The 14,277-nt window shown below is 35.1% G+C and overlaps 1 protein-coding gene across 11 annotated transcripts in view; it reads right to left on the bottom strand.

Moving 5' to 3' along the window:
* The window catches only part of CFAP96 (cilia and flagella associated protein 96), a 41,393-nt gene that overhangs the window by 4,678 nt on the left and 22,438 nt on the right, over nucleotides 1–14,277 (bottom strand). For 7 of the 11 annotated variants that reach the window (XM_017008239.2, XM_017008238.2, XM_017008240.2 and 4 more), the window contains exons 3-7: nucleotides 12,948–13,167; nucleotides 8,966–9,103; nucleotides 8,790–8,865; nucleotides 4,430–4,609; nucleotides 19–185 (exon numbers count right to left, since the gene is read on the bottom strand). In XM_017008239.2, coding sequence (XP_016863728.1) covers nucleotides 19–185; nucleotides 4,430–4,609; nucleotides 8,790–8,865; nucleotides 8,966–9,103; nucleotides 12,948–13,167 — 781 coding nt within the window. Of the gene's footprint in view, nucleotides 1–18; nucleotides 186–4,429; nucleotides 4,610–8,789; nucleotides 8,866–8,965; nucleotides 9,104–12,947; nucleotides 13,168–14,277 lie in introns of those variants that run through there. The other 4 variants (XM_047415721.1, XM_047415720.1, NM_001346007.2 and 1 more) reach the window with 2 other exon arrangements.

The following is a 14,277-nucleotide window of genomic DNA, read 5'->3' as shown; positions in this document are numbered from 1 at the left end:
AGTGTAAGATATTCCCACCTTCTGACATTCAAAGTCATTATACTTTCAACTGGTCTGCTTTTTGGTCCACTTGGTGGGTGGAAAATCTTATCATCTTTGCCAGAAATATTTGCCAATTTAGCCACATAAGGGTCAGCAGAATGTGATGGGTAAGGATCAAATGTTCCTGCCTTCATTCCACCAGGCTGCGAAGAAAAACGAGACAACTTAATGTGATTTTGTAAAATGCCTCTACAAAATTAGCTTGTGAAGAAGTTCATACATATTTTTGTAGTCTGTGGAGTTGGTTTTAAAGAAAATGATACTGTTTAATTCAAATACCACCAAAAGGTCTCCCTACCACCAACTTTATAGGGTCAAAACATCATAATCCAAAATCTCTCTATAAAAATGACAATGTTTATAGTAAGGTAACAGTCTAAACTATTGCCAAGCATTAATATTTTAGAGTTTATCAGACTAGGCTATCACTTAGTTAGAAAGTGAGTCTATTAGTAAGGGAAATCCTAGGTCAGATGTATTTTGATAGAGAATGGGGAACAAGGAGTATGGCACAACATGAGTTTACTAAATGCCAGTCAATGATGGAGAAGATACTTTAAAAAAAAAGTAATAAGCAATAGCACAAAGAAATAGAAAGTTGAGAGGAAAATTCGATCTACTTTACTTTTCTTGTAGTCTATCAAGAGAAGTCAATCAAAATATTTTTCAACCTGTACACAAGACAGAAATATTTGCTTTGACTTCTTAAACTGATTTGACAGAATTTTAAGCTTTATATTCTATATAATCACAGGAAAATTCTATAGAATCATAATAACCCATTTAATTAGGCACCTTTTCTTGTAGTATCTATGCCAAATATACATGAAGATTTAATTCATTTGAAAGATACAGGCCGGGCGCGGTGGCTCACGCCTGTAATCCCAGCACTTTGGGAGGCCGAGGCGGGTGGATCATGAGGTCAGGAGATCGAGACCATCCTGGCTAACAAGGTGAAACCCCGTCTCTACTAAAAATACAAAAAATTAGCCGGGCGCGGTGGCGGGCGCCTGTAGTCCCAGCTACTCGGGAGGCTGAGGCAGGAGAATGGCGTGAACCCGGGAAGCGGAGCTTGCAGTGAGCCGAGATTGCGCCACTGCAGTCCGCAGTCCGGCCTGGGCAACAGAGCGAGACTCCGTCTCAAAAAAAAAAAAAAAAAAAAAAAAAAAAAAAAAAAAAAAAAAAGAAAGATATAGTTATAAGTTTTCAGGTTTTCCAGATTGAAGACACATGGATTATTTTAAAGCTTACAATAACAAGAAAACTTAAGAAAGTTTAAATAAATTAATTTACAAGTATAAAAGCAAAATGAATGAATTAAAAATAGAAATACATAAGTTAAATAAACCCAAGTGATGCTTTAAAAAATAAGTTCATAGCTAAATCTGTAATAGAATTAAGAATGAAAAAGAAGTGAGGAAAGTCTATACCTATATTTAATATCAAAAATATAAAATAGGCCAGGCACTGTGGCTCACGCCTGTAATCCCAGCACTTTGGGAGGCCGAATCAGGTGGATCACCTGAGGTCAGGAGTTCAAGACCAGCCTGGGCAACATGGCGAAACCCTGTCTCTACTAAAAATACAAAAATTAGCCAGGCGTGGTGGCACACTCCTGTAATCCCAGCTCTTAGGGAGGCTGAGGCAAAGGAATCGCTTGAATTGAACCTGGGAGGCAGAGGTTGCAGTGAGCCAAGATCGTGCCACTGCACTCCAGCCTGGGCAACAGAGCAAGACTCCATCTCAAAAAAAAAAAAAAAAAAATATATATATATATATATATATACATAAAAAATAATATTTCTGTAAACCCCAAAAACCTGAATGAAATGACTGATTTTCTAAGAAAATATAAATAATCTACATTGACCAAAAAGAGATAGAAAACCTACACAAAACAGATGGAGAAAGAAATGTAAGAATTGAGAAAATTAGCAGAGCCACCCTGTAATACGGCTAAGCTCAGAACGCTTCACTGTGAATTCTTTCAAGTCTTCAAAAAGCTGATATTTCTAATGCTATTAAACTGCTATAGAACATAGAAACACAAAGAAATTACCCCCATTGCTTTAAGATGCCTGCATCCACTTGTACCAAAATAGAACAAGGCATATACATAGTCTTAAAAATACAGACCAATCACACTTCAAATTATTCCTGCAAAAATACTTAATAAAATATTAGCAAATAAAACACAGTATTATATTTTAAGATTAATACAACACAGCCAAGTGAGATTCATTTCAGGAAATATTGTTATTCAGCTTATGACAAGTAAAAAGTGGGGAGTGAAGGGATAGTCTAAATAGATTACACCATTTGATAAAATTCAGCGTATATTCAATAAAATTCAGCATACGTTCCTGATGTATTCCTATTTTTGGCATCTATAAAAATGAAAAACTAAAGGTATCCTATTAAAGTCAAGATTAAGGCAAGGATGGCCACTACTGCTGGCTTAAGGAATTGGGCATGAGCATGACATAAAAAAATACATATATATGAGAAGCAGGGGGAGCAAAATTATTTGCAGATAATATAGAGCTGCAAAGCAAAAGAAAGTCAAGAAAATAACCATTAGGACACAAAGTTTAATGAAGTGGCCAGTTATTTTGTAAAAATCAAATGTTTTTATAATGACAAATAATATGAAGGAAAATATGATGGGGAAAAATACTTATTGACCAGAACCTTAAAATAACTAGGAATAAATATAAGATATAATATAACCTATGCAATATAAAATACAAAACTCTACAAGGGAGATAGAAGGTTAAGGAGCTTATTCCTAGATCTGAAGATTCAAATTATAAATATGTTAATATATCCAAAAAAAGAGTAAATTTTATAACAAAATATCAAAGTTCTTTCCCTTTTTGGAACTTTAGAAAATAATTCTGAAGTTCTGGAGAATATGACAGAATAACCAGCATAACTTTTTTAAAGAGTAAGAAGAGACTTGACCACTTACTATTAAATATAATAGAACTTAAAAGGGTTTTTTGGGCAGAAATAAACAAATAGATGAGTCAAATGGAATGAAAACTCAGAAACATAACTTCAAAAATAAGAATTTTGGTTTGATAAACATGGCATTTCAAAGTAATGGTGTTAAAAATGAATTATTCCATCAGTCATATTGGGAACAGCTTGATTTTTTAAAAATCAGTTTTATTAAAGTGTAATTCACCTACAATAAACTATACCCATTTAAAGTGTACAATGCTATGAGTTTTGACAGATGTCTACAACCCTTGAAATGACTACCACAATTAAGATACGGAACATTTCACCCCCTGCCCAAAGTGTTCTCATGCCCCCAAACTAAATAAAAGCTGGATTCTTACCTCACTCTTTACATCAAAATGTGTTTTAGATAAATATTTAAATGCAAAAGGATATTTTAATATTAAAATTATTAATTTCTTTTAATTAAAAATTAATTAAAAGAAATTAAATTTTTAGTAGAAATTTTAATTTAATTTCTTTTAATAGAAGAAATTAAGAAGCCACATTATTCTAATATTGGTGGTAAAGAGAGCCACTCCGAAAATGACATAAACCTTACCAACAATGGACTGATAAATCTGACTACATCCAATCATTAAGTTCCTGAACAGCACAAAACATCATAACCAAAGATCCAACAGATTAAAAAAATTATTTTCAACACAAATAACAAAACAAGACTAGTACCCTTAATATATGAAGAGATCTTATAAGATATCTTACAATATTAAAAACATAAACTTTGAAATACAAAGTCCGCAAGAAAAATGAAGAGGCAATTTACAGAAAAAAAAAGTATTGACTAAGGTTTATAAACTGCTGGAGCATTTTAATTTTTATTCTCACTTATTAACTTCTGCAGTAGGAAGATAGTTAATTTTAATTACCATTTCAAAAACTAAAAGATGGTTTGGCTTTTTATGGTTTTAAGAAAAACTAGACCTAGGGTCTAGAGAAGCACTTCAAAAATTCATTATGAATTCACCAGGCATGGTAGCACATGCCTGTAATCTCAGCTACTCTGGAGGCTGATGCAGGAGTATTGCTTGAACTCAAGAGGCGGAGCTTGCAGTGAGCCTAGATCATGCCACTGCACTGCCAGCCCGGGCAAAGAGTGAGACTCCATCTCAAAAAAAAAAAATTATAAATTCAAATACATTTGAAGAGACTAATAATTACTTCATGACAAGGGCTTCATTATCCCCTACACTATTCATACTTGGTGATTTCATGTAATTTTGTAAAAATGGGTCCAATGATTCTTGGTATCCATACAAACAAAAGTTTATTATTTACATGGGAAAAAAAATCATTTGATAGCAAGAGACAGTATTTCTTTATAATACTTAATTTTTTCATCCTAAAATTGTAAACTTACCTTTTTACCAGGAGAAGACGGTTTAAAAGTATTTGAAATTGTTTTCTTCTTCTCTTCTTTTTTAATTGGTGGTAAAGATTCCTCAGAAAAATAAGGATTAGCGTCAAAATAGTCCCTTGGGTGAAGATTTAACTTAAATGGTGCTCCTTTAAGTAAACGATGGTGCTCTTCATTCGCTTTCTGTGAATTAAAGAGTTTGAAATTACATAGCACAAATTTCACAAATTGAAAATAACCCAGAGTTAAATCTTTTACATTTTAATATAAATATGATTCTTAAATCTATCCTGCTGGGTGTACTTTTTTAAAACATTAATTTACTATGTTCTATTTTTATGATACAAAAGATATGCCTACTTACAGACAAACAGAACTATGCTTATTCATTTTGGATACAAATTTATTTGCGATACTGAGACCTTATCACCTGAACGAATCTATATTAACTATCTGTGCAGTATGATGCAGCATAACAAGACTTGTCGCTAGTTCAAGCCCTTCCTGCTTTTAGCATTTCTCAGAGACTCTGGGAAAGTTACATTTCAGTGTCACATCTTCTTCAACTGTAAATGAGGACATTATTATTCCCCACTTAATGCTGTTGTAAAGATTACATGAGATTATGTATATATATGATTTTATATGTATATATGAGATACGTATATAACATTTTTATAATTAAAAAAATTATATGTATATATGAGATTATCTATATCTCATATGTGTATATATCTCACATATACACATATACATATATGTATATATCATATATATGATACATATATGTATATATATCATATATATGAGATATATATGTGTATATGTGAGATATGTATATATAACATTTTTATAATTTAAAAAAACATTTTATATGTATATATGAGATTATGTATATACATATATGAGTATATGTATATATCTTACATATACATATATATGAGATATAGATACATATATGTATATATGAGATATGTATATATTATATATTACATGTCTATAATTTTTTTGCTATCTAGTATTCAAAGCAAAGCAGCAGTCATGTTTTCCTCTTATGTTGTAATCTTTTCTATTAGACAATATTAAGTATAAAAATCACTGGCTATTAATAAAGTAGCAAAAAATCAAATTATGAAATATAGATTCAAAAAACTATACAGTGAACATTGATACTTTTTTCACTTTTGCAAATATAAAATCTGATATTTCATCATTCAACAAACTGAACTGAAAACACTTGATAAATGAAATCTAAAATAGTTACTTGAGAAAAGACTAACTTTCGCTACTAGGAACCTGCTGTAGCACTTTCAGAATCCTTTCTTCTTTTGGGATTTTTCTCTTGCCCTTGCTTGTCCTCTTCCTTTCTCCAGCTTGTAGGACATTCATTCATTCTTGGTGATCTGCTCTCCACCCTTCCATATCACAACAATGGTACTGAAAATTTATTCTATTGATCTTTTTGGACAGTGTTCCCACAAAATTTACTTGTCATGGGAATCACTTGATAATTTATTTAAATTACAAATCACCAAGCCCTTCCCTCAAAGATTTCTGATTGCATTGGTCTGCTGTATGGCCTATTAATCTGCAGTTTTAACAGTGATTCTCATGCATGTGATTATAATGTAATGTTTTAGGATCACTTTTTGCTACAGCATGGTCACCTTTTACCAGAAGAATACTCTATTTGTCTTACCAACCCCTGCCCTAGAATGTTCAGTTGAGTACTGGTCAGCAGACGTATGAGAAAACTATTCAAAGCCAAGAAAAGAACCACCTGAAAGAATGTGAGGTAACAGTGTCTGGCTCTCACACAGAGCTGGGAATTGTGGTGGTTGCCATCAGCTGTGCAAGAAAATGTCCTAATTCACAGGGCATCGGACGGAGTACCTAGACAGGTCTTGCCCCAGTAGTGGGGAATAAACAGCCCTAGATTGAGCATAGCTCCTATCACACCTAACAAATCTTAAATGCAAGAACTGAAAAGGTAAAAACCATTTCTAAGTAATGTGACAGCACTCCAGAAAAAGCCCGAGAATATTTATAAGAATACAAAAATATACAGCACTCAACGAAGTAAAATTCCTAGTATTTGACATCCAATAAAAAAATTGCCAGTAACTCAAAGTAGCAAAATATGACCCCCATACTGAGAAGAAAAATCAATTATTTAAAATCAACCAAGAACTAATATAGATGTTAGCATTAACAGAAAAGGGCATTAAGACAGTAACTATATCCTGAATGCTCAAAAAATTAAGTAGAGACAGGTAAGACATTAAAAATACTCAAACTTCTAGAGAGCAAAACCACAATGTATGAAATTAAAAATATACTGGTTGACATTAACAGCAGATTGGACATTACAGAAAAATAGATTGGTGAGTTTGAAGATGCAGCAATAAAAACTAACCAAAATGAAATACATAGAAGGAAAAAAGGACTTTTTTTTAAGTTAATAGGGTGTTGGTAAATTGTAGGACAATTTCAAGAGACCTAATGCACATGTAACTGGAATTTCTGAAGGGGAAGAGAAAGACAGATAAAAATATCTGAAGAAATAATAACTGGAAATATTCCAAATTTGATTTGAAAAACTATAAACCCATAGATCCAAGAAGCTCAATAAACCTCAAGCACAAGAAGGATGAAAGAAAACAACACAAAGTCACATCATAATCAAACTGCTTAAATGAGTCATAAAAAGAAAAAAAAAGTGGCCAGAGGAAAGGACATAGTGCATGCAGAAGAACAAAAATGAGCATGACAACAGGTTTCTCATCAGAGACAAGTCAAGCAGGAAGACAGTGGAGTAACCTTTTTTAAATACTAAAAGAAAAAGCAAGATAAATTTTTCAAAATTACTTTTAGAATATTAGGAAATCTAGGAACATAAAATTTCTGACTTATGTATAAGTTCTAAAAATGAGGATAAAAGAGCTTTTTCTGTTAAGAGAGAAAAGTATGTTATACCCAATAAGTATAGGGTAAAAGATTAATTACAGAGCCACTATAAAACTCCACTGTATGTAGTTATGTAGTATGTATGCAATATTATCCCTACAGATGAAAACTAGCTTATATACAATTTTATAAGAACCAAGGTTTCTGCCCAATTTAATAGAAAACTGTTCCTGAGTTTGGACATGCCCATCAGCATAATGGTCCTTATTCTCTCACATTCCACTGGTATTTAAAATTTTTTACCATAGCAAAACTGCTAAAGCCTGCATGCCTCTAATAACAAAAACAAAAAACTACAAAGTGATTGCCATTTAATGCTTAATGTCCAAATTAAGTTGACTTTTCATTACTACCTGCTTTCTTTATGTTATGCTGATATTGTGAAATTATGTTCATATGGTTCTAAGATTTATAAGGGTTCCTTTATTTATTTACAAATAGACATTCCGCATATAAGTGAACAGGTCTCATTACAAGTCAAATATGGTACACAGTGAGTGTAAGAGGCATATGCTAGCACATTTTAGTTTTTATCTCTGCCATTTAATAAAGTGAGCAGTTTTCTCCTATCCTTTCACTCTGTCTACTCACAGGATTCATCCATTCTCTCACCTCCACCTTTTCCCATCACGCCTCCACTCCTCCATCCCATCTGCTCATCATAATGGCTTCTTGATCAGCCCAAAAGTATTACAATTCCTTTTGCAGGCACAGATAGTAGGGTATGGTGGGAATATGGCTAAGGGTCAGGATATGACTCTTTATTTAAAATAGAACATAGTTCATCAGGCCAGGCTAATAGAAGTTTCACAGCTAGTTTACAGAGATGTAAAATAGATGTGGTAAACCATAGCAAGAGATAAAATTCATCCTGGAAGGAGCTGAGAGGATATACAGCAAGACATGAAAATCTAATAAAAGGGTAAAATTATCACAATTCATAAACATGAGTTTGCCACTGCCCCAGTGATACAAATAGATAGAACAAAACAAAATTAGATCTCAAGTGAATTATTATTATTATTATTATTATTATTATTATTTTTGAGACGGAGTCTCGTTCTGTCACCGAGGCTGGAGTGCAGTGGCGCGACCTTGGCTCACTGCAACCTCCGTATCCTGGGTTCAAGCGGTTCTCCTGCCTCAGCCTCCTGAGTAGCTGGGATTACAGGTGCCCGCCACCACACCTGGCTAATTTTTGTAAGATTAGTAGAGATGGGGTTTCACCATGTTGGTCAGGCTGGTCTCGAACTCCTGACCTCGTGATCCGCCCATCTCGGCCACCCCAAGTGCTGGGATTACAGATGTGAGCCACCGTGCCCGGCCTCAAGTGAATTATTAATATCGAGTTAGCTAAATAAAAGAAAGGTTGAAACATTCAAAACAGATTTTTTACCTTATACTTTAGTTTTGCTGCATCATAGAAGTCGGCAGAGTGTGAAAACTGTTTACCTATGGTAATATTTGCATAGCTAAGAAAGCAAAGTAAGTAATGGTGACTTCAGAATTCAGAAATTTAATTTTTTTAAATTTCAAAACAAACGATATGACAAAGTATTAAAAATATCTTACCCATATCCAGTTCCTTTCTTTCCCGGGTTTGTGTATAAATTCTTTCCAGGTGCCTTGTATTTTTCTCGAGGTTTTGACTGTGCGCTGAAAAATGGGACTGGACCACCTATTGTTCCATAGTAGCTTCCTAAGCCACATCTTAAATACAATTTTTTGATGTTTTAAAAGAAGGAGGTTAAAATGGCAAAGTTTAAGTCTATTTTATCATAATTTTTAAACAGATTGAAAAAAAGAGAAAAAAATGCTAGTTTTAATCTAATTTCATTTTCCTCATTCTTCAGTCACAGATTTTGACATAAGATATGTTTTTAATATTTTTATTATTATAAACATTCTACAAAAAATAGAACTGCATAATCCTTAGGAAGTTAGAATCATTCTCATTAATTCAGTTAACTGTAACAATAAACAGAGTCTTTTGTGTTTTTAGATTAATTTATGGATGCTTTATGGCAAGTTAGCTAATAAATGGCTAATTACTTCTGACTATCCACCCACAAGAAACTACACTTGCAAAACAAATATTTAAGACTGCTGTTTCCACTACTGACAGAAAGTGACTCATGGAATTTGGGTGCTAATTTTCTTCTGTTTGCTGTAGAAAAAATTAACCAAATATTTTCTTTTCTTCCATTTTAATGTTAAATTTTCTGGGCACACAGTATCTATGTAAAATCATCAAAGTATTTACTATCCAGCACTTTAACAAATTTTTCTTAAAACTTCCACAATAAGGGTAACTATTGTCAGCAACAGTCATAGTCTCTAATTCTTAAGTTACCATTGAAGTAAACAAATTTTAATAATCAGAAAAAGGTCTACAAGACACATGAAACCTTATTACTATCAAAACTTGACACTGTTCATACATCTGAGTTAAAAATTTCAAAAACTAGAAAGACATCAACACCGATTGCTTATTGTCAATACCTTCAGTCTACAAATGGTAGGAAAGCATATTTTAATTAATCCCTCTTTATGAACCTATATAATGAAATTCTAAAATACAACAAGGAAATAGAGCAGGGATAATGCAGATAAAGGAGAACTATTCACAGACAGGCATAATTTACCCAAAATGTGATTTAACGCAAGCACTAAAAGTCATTCTATTTAGAATGTATTAAATGCCTACGGTTCCGGGGGTGGGTGTGGTGGCTCACGTATGTAATCCCAGCACTTTGGGAGGCTGAGGTGGGCAGATCACCTGAGGTCAGGAGTTTGAGACCAGCCTGGCCAACATGGCGAAACCCATCTCTACTAAAAACACAAAAAACTAGCCGGGCGTGGTGGCCTGTGCCTGTCATCCCAGCTACTTGGGAGGCTGAGGCAGGAGAATCTCGCTTGAACCTGGGAGGCGGAGATTGCAGTGAGCTGAGATCGCGCCACTGCACTCCAGCTTGGATGACAGAGCCAGACTCCATCTCACAAAAATAAATATATATATAATAAATGCCTACGGTTCCATAATTTGGTGTTCAATAAGTGTCTTATAGGGTTTCTTACTTAAAACACTAGTCTCTCTTTTTGGAAACACTTTCTGTATCCACTAAATTATAGATGTTTTTCACATATCTATGAATTATTTTAAAAAAGGAAAGCTAGTCTAATTATAAAACTGTTATTATTTCTTGGCTGACAGATGAATATAAGCCTATTATAAACTAATGTATCAAGGTAGCAATTTCCAATTATTACCACATGAGTCAAAGTTTATCACAGGCAGGAGAAAAGACTGAAAACTAGGAAAAAGTTATTTCACATATTCCATGAAAAAGAAAGTAGTGACAAAAGGAAAAAAATCACATTTTTAAATTTATATCCAAGAAAATGAAAGATTTCAAGAAACAGTAGTAATAATAAGAATAAATAATTCAAATCTATCCAAAGTGTCAAAAGGTAGAAAAAGATGAAATTAAAGAAGAAAACCCTCACTCTTTTTTATTTTTTTGTTTTTTTTCAGACAGGGTCTCACTCTGTTGCCCAGGCTGCAGTGCAGTGCAGTGGTGCAGTCTCAGCTCACCGCAGCCTCAAACTCCCGGCTCAAGTGTTCCCTGCAACCTCCGCCTCCCGAGTAGCTGGGACTAAAGGCATGCATCGCCACGCTGGCTTAATTTTTGTATATTTTGTAGAGATGGGTTTTTGTCATGTTGTCCAGACTGGTCACAAACTCCTAGACTCAAGCAATACATCCGCCTCAGCCTCCCAAGGTGCTGGGATCACAGGCATGAGCCACTGCACCCACCGAAAATCCTCAGTCTTTTTTTGTTTTGTTGTTTTGTTTTTGAGACAGAGTCTCTGTCGCCCAGGCTGGAGTGCAGTGGCACAATCTTGGCTCACTGCAGCCTCCGCCTCCTGGGTTCAAGTGATTCTCCTGCCTCAGCCTCCCGAGTAGCTGGGATTACAGGCGCCCACCACCACGCCCGGCTAATTTTTATATTTTTAGTAGAGACGGGGTTTCGCCATGTTGGCCAGGCTGGTCTCAAACTCCTGACCTCAGGTGATCCGCCCGCCTCGGCCTCCCAAAGTGCTGGGATTACAGGTGTGAGCCACCGTGCCCGGCCAAAAATCCTCACTCTTAATAGAGACAATAATTTTGGCTGACGTTGCCTACTAGAATTAGAAGGAAGTATAAGTTATACAAAGTAGTTTTACTAGTATCAAAAAACACAGTAAATAAGCACAAAATTAGACTTCGGTTATCATCTATCAAATTAATAAACTGAGAGACTCAAAGCTTTGAGTGTGAATGAACATTACTTTTCTTTTCTTTTTTTTTTTTTTTTTGAGATGGAGTCTCAGTCTGTCACCCAGGCTGGAGTGCAGTGGTGTGATCTTGGCTCACTGCAACCTCAGGCTCCGGAGTTAAAGCGAGATTCTCCTGCCTCAGCCTCCTGAGTAGCTGGGACTACAGGTGCATGCCACCATGCCTGGCTAATTTTTTGTATTTTTAGTAGGGATGGGGTTTCACTGAACATTACGTTTTAAGTCTCAGTTATATAACATTACATTGACTTCATGGTCTAATGTTAAACTAACTTAAAGGGAACATTGACAGTTGTCACAACTAAGATACTGTTAAACCTCATGAGTATATCTTCATAATAATTTAAAAATAATGAATTTTTGATCAATTATTTTCTTCATCAAAAAAGAATTTCTGGCCAGGCGTGGCCCAGAACCCTCCTCCACTTGAACCCAGGAGGCAGAGGTTGCACTGAGCTGAGATCATGCCACTGCACTCCAGCCTGAGCAACAGAGCAAGACTCTGTCTCAAAAAACAACAAAAAAAATGTATCCTAATTCCACATTTTTTTTTTTTAGACAAGATCTTGCTCTGACATCCAGGCTGGAGTGCAGTGGCTCAATCATAGCTCACTGTAACCTCAAACTCCTGGGCTCAAGGGATTCTCTCACCTCAGCCTCCTGAGTAGCTGGGACTACAGGCACATTGCTACCACACCTAGCTAATTTTTTAACTTTTGTAGAGATGGGGTCTCTCTATATTGCCCAGGCTGGTCTCAAACTCCTGGCCTCAAGCATTCCTCCTAGCTCGGCCTCCAAAAGTGCTGGGATTATAGGCATGAGCCACTGCACCCAGCCTCATATTTTTATCTATACTTCTTTAACAGCAGAAAAAACAGTCAGGGGCATAGACATGATAATTCAAGGCAATTTTTTCCGCCAATCTGACTTTGCAAGGTTTTTGAACAAATTTTATTATTTAGGTTGTTTTTATTATATCAACAAATAGAGCATAGTGATATAGATAATCCAAAATTTAATATGATAATGAGAATATATTTAATCAAGATTACTTGTCAATCTAAATCATCCAATACAACTATCTCCACCTAAGACAAACTAAGAATAATACTTAAAAATTCATCTTACATAAGTAAGTCCTACAGAAAAACAAATATTTAATTTAGGGATAAAGGTACAGGAGGTATATTTAAGACTTTTCCCAAAAAACACTTACGGCTTTTTCTCTCCATTACTAGGGAGGAATGCTTTGCCTAGATTTTTTTTGGCTGCTTCCACCATATCCCGTCTCCTCACTTGATTCAGATTTATGTAGCCTTCACCTTCAAAAATCCTTACAAAATGGGGATCAAAATAACCTGCCTGAAGATCTGACATTTCTTTGGACCCTCCAGGTAGCATCTGTTTATTTTTGCTTGCAGCCTCATTAAAGGGTCCTTTAAAGATAAATTAGGCATATTATAATTTTGAGCTGACTAGCAATTAAAGGACATGAAAAATAAGATAACAATTTCCAAATATGATTTGGGCCAATTATGAATTTTGAGCTCTAAAGCACTGTTTCAAAACATTCCCTGAAAGCTCTGTGTGAATGGCTATCTTGACAATAAGACCTAAGTGGTTTTCATCAAAACATGTTAATATGTAAGGTCTTGCTTATACACTCTGAGTTTTAGAGCTGGTAGAGACCTTAAAATGATCTAATTCAATGTTTCTCCAACTACAGACTAGAAAGCACTGTGTGAGATGTCAGTAAGGGTGTGCGCGTAGGTCATGTGTGAGATGTCAGTGAGAGTGTGTGCGCAGGTCGAAGAGAAGGGTGTTTCACACTCAAATTGAAGCAATTCCTCTCTGGGGCATATATTCAAGATGCGTGAGTGTCTATGGCCACTAAAAGACATTAACAAGAATGTTCATAGCAGTTTTATTCATAATAATCAAAAACATAAAATAGCCCAAATGTCCATCAACAGGAGAACAGATTTTTAAGCTGTGGAATTTATACAGTGAAATACTAGTAGCCCAGTAATTTTTTAAAGGCTGTTTTAATAAGTATTTAGAACTTCTTTCATAATTTAGATCTAGGAGAGCTCTATTTGAGGAGAGCTTTGGAAACATGGAGAAGTTTTTGAAGTGCACACAATCCTTAATTCACCTGGCTACTAAATGTGAATCTGTATCACTGACTTTTTTTTTTTTTTTTTTTTTGAGACGGAGTCTCACTCTGTTGCCCAGGCTGGAGTGCAGTGGCACGATCTCAGCTCACTGCAACCTCCACCTCCCAGGTTCAAGCGATTCTCCTGCCTCAGCCTCCCAAGTAGCTGGGACTACAGGTGTGCACCACCATGGCTGGTTAATTTTTGTATTTTTAGTAGAGACGGGGTTTCACCATATTTCTCAGGCTGGTCTTGAACTCCTGACCTTGTGATCCACCCACCTCAGCCTCCCAAAGTGCTGGGATTACAGGCGAGAGCCACCACGCCTGGCCAGTATCACTGAGTTTTTTAAACTTTTTTTTTTTTGACAAGGTCTCCTTCTGGCACCCA

The sequence above is a fragment of the Homo sapiens genome, chromosome 4 (genome assembly GCF_000001405.40).
Source record: "Homo sapiens chromosome 4, GRCh38.p14 Primary Assembly".
NCBI classification, from domain to species: domain Eukaryota; kingdom Metazoa; phylum Chordata; class Mammalia; order Primates; family Hominidae; genus Homo; species Homo sapiens.
The sequence above is the reverse complement of the archived record's forward strand: the minus strand, read 5'-3'. Positions and strand labels throughout refer to the sequence as shown.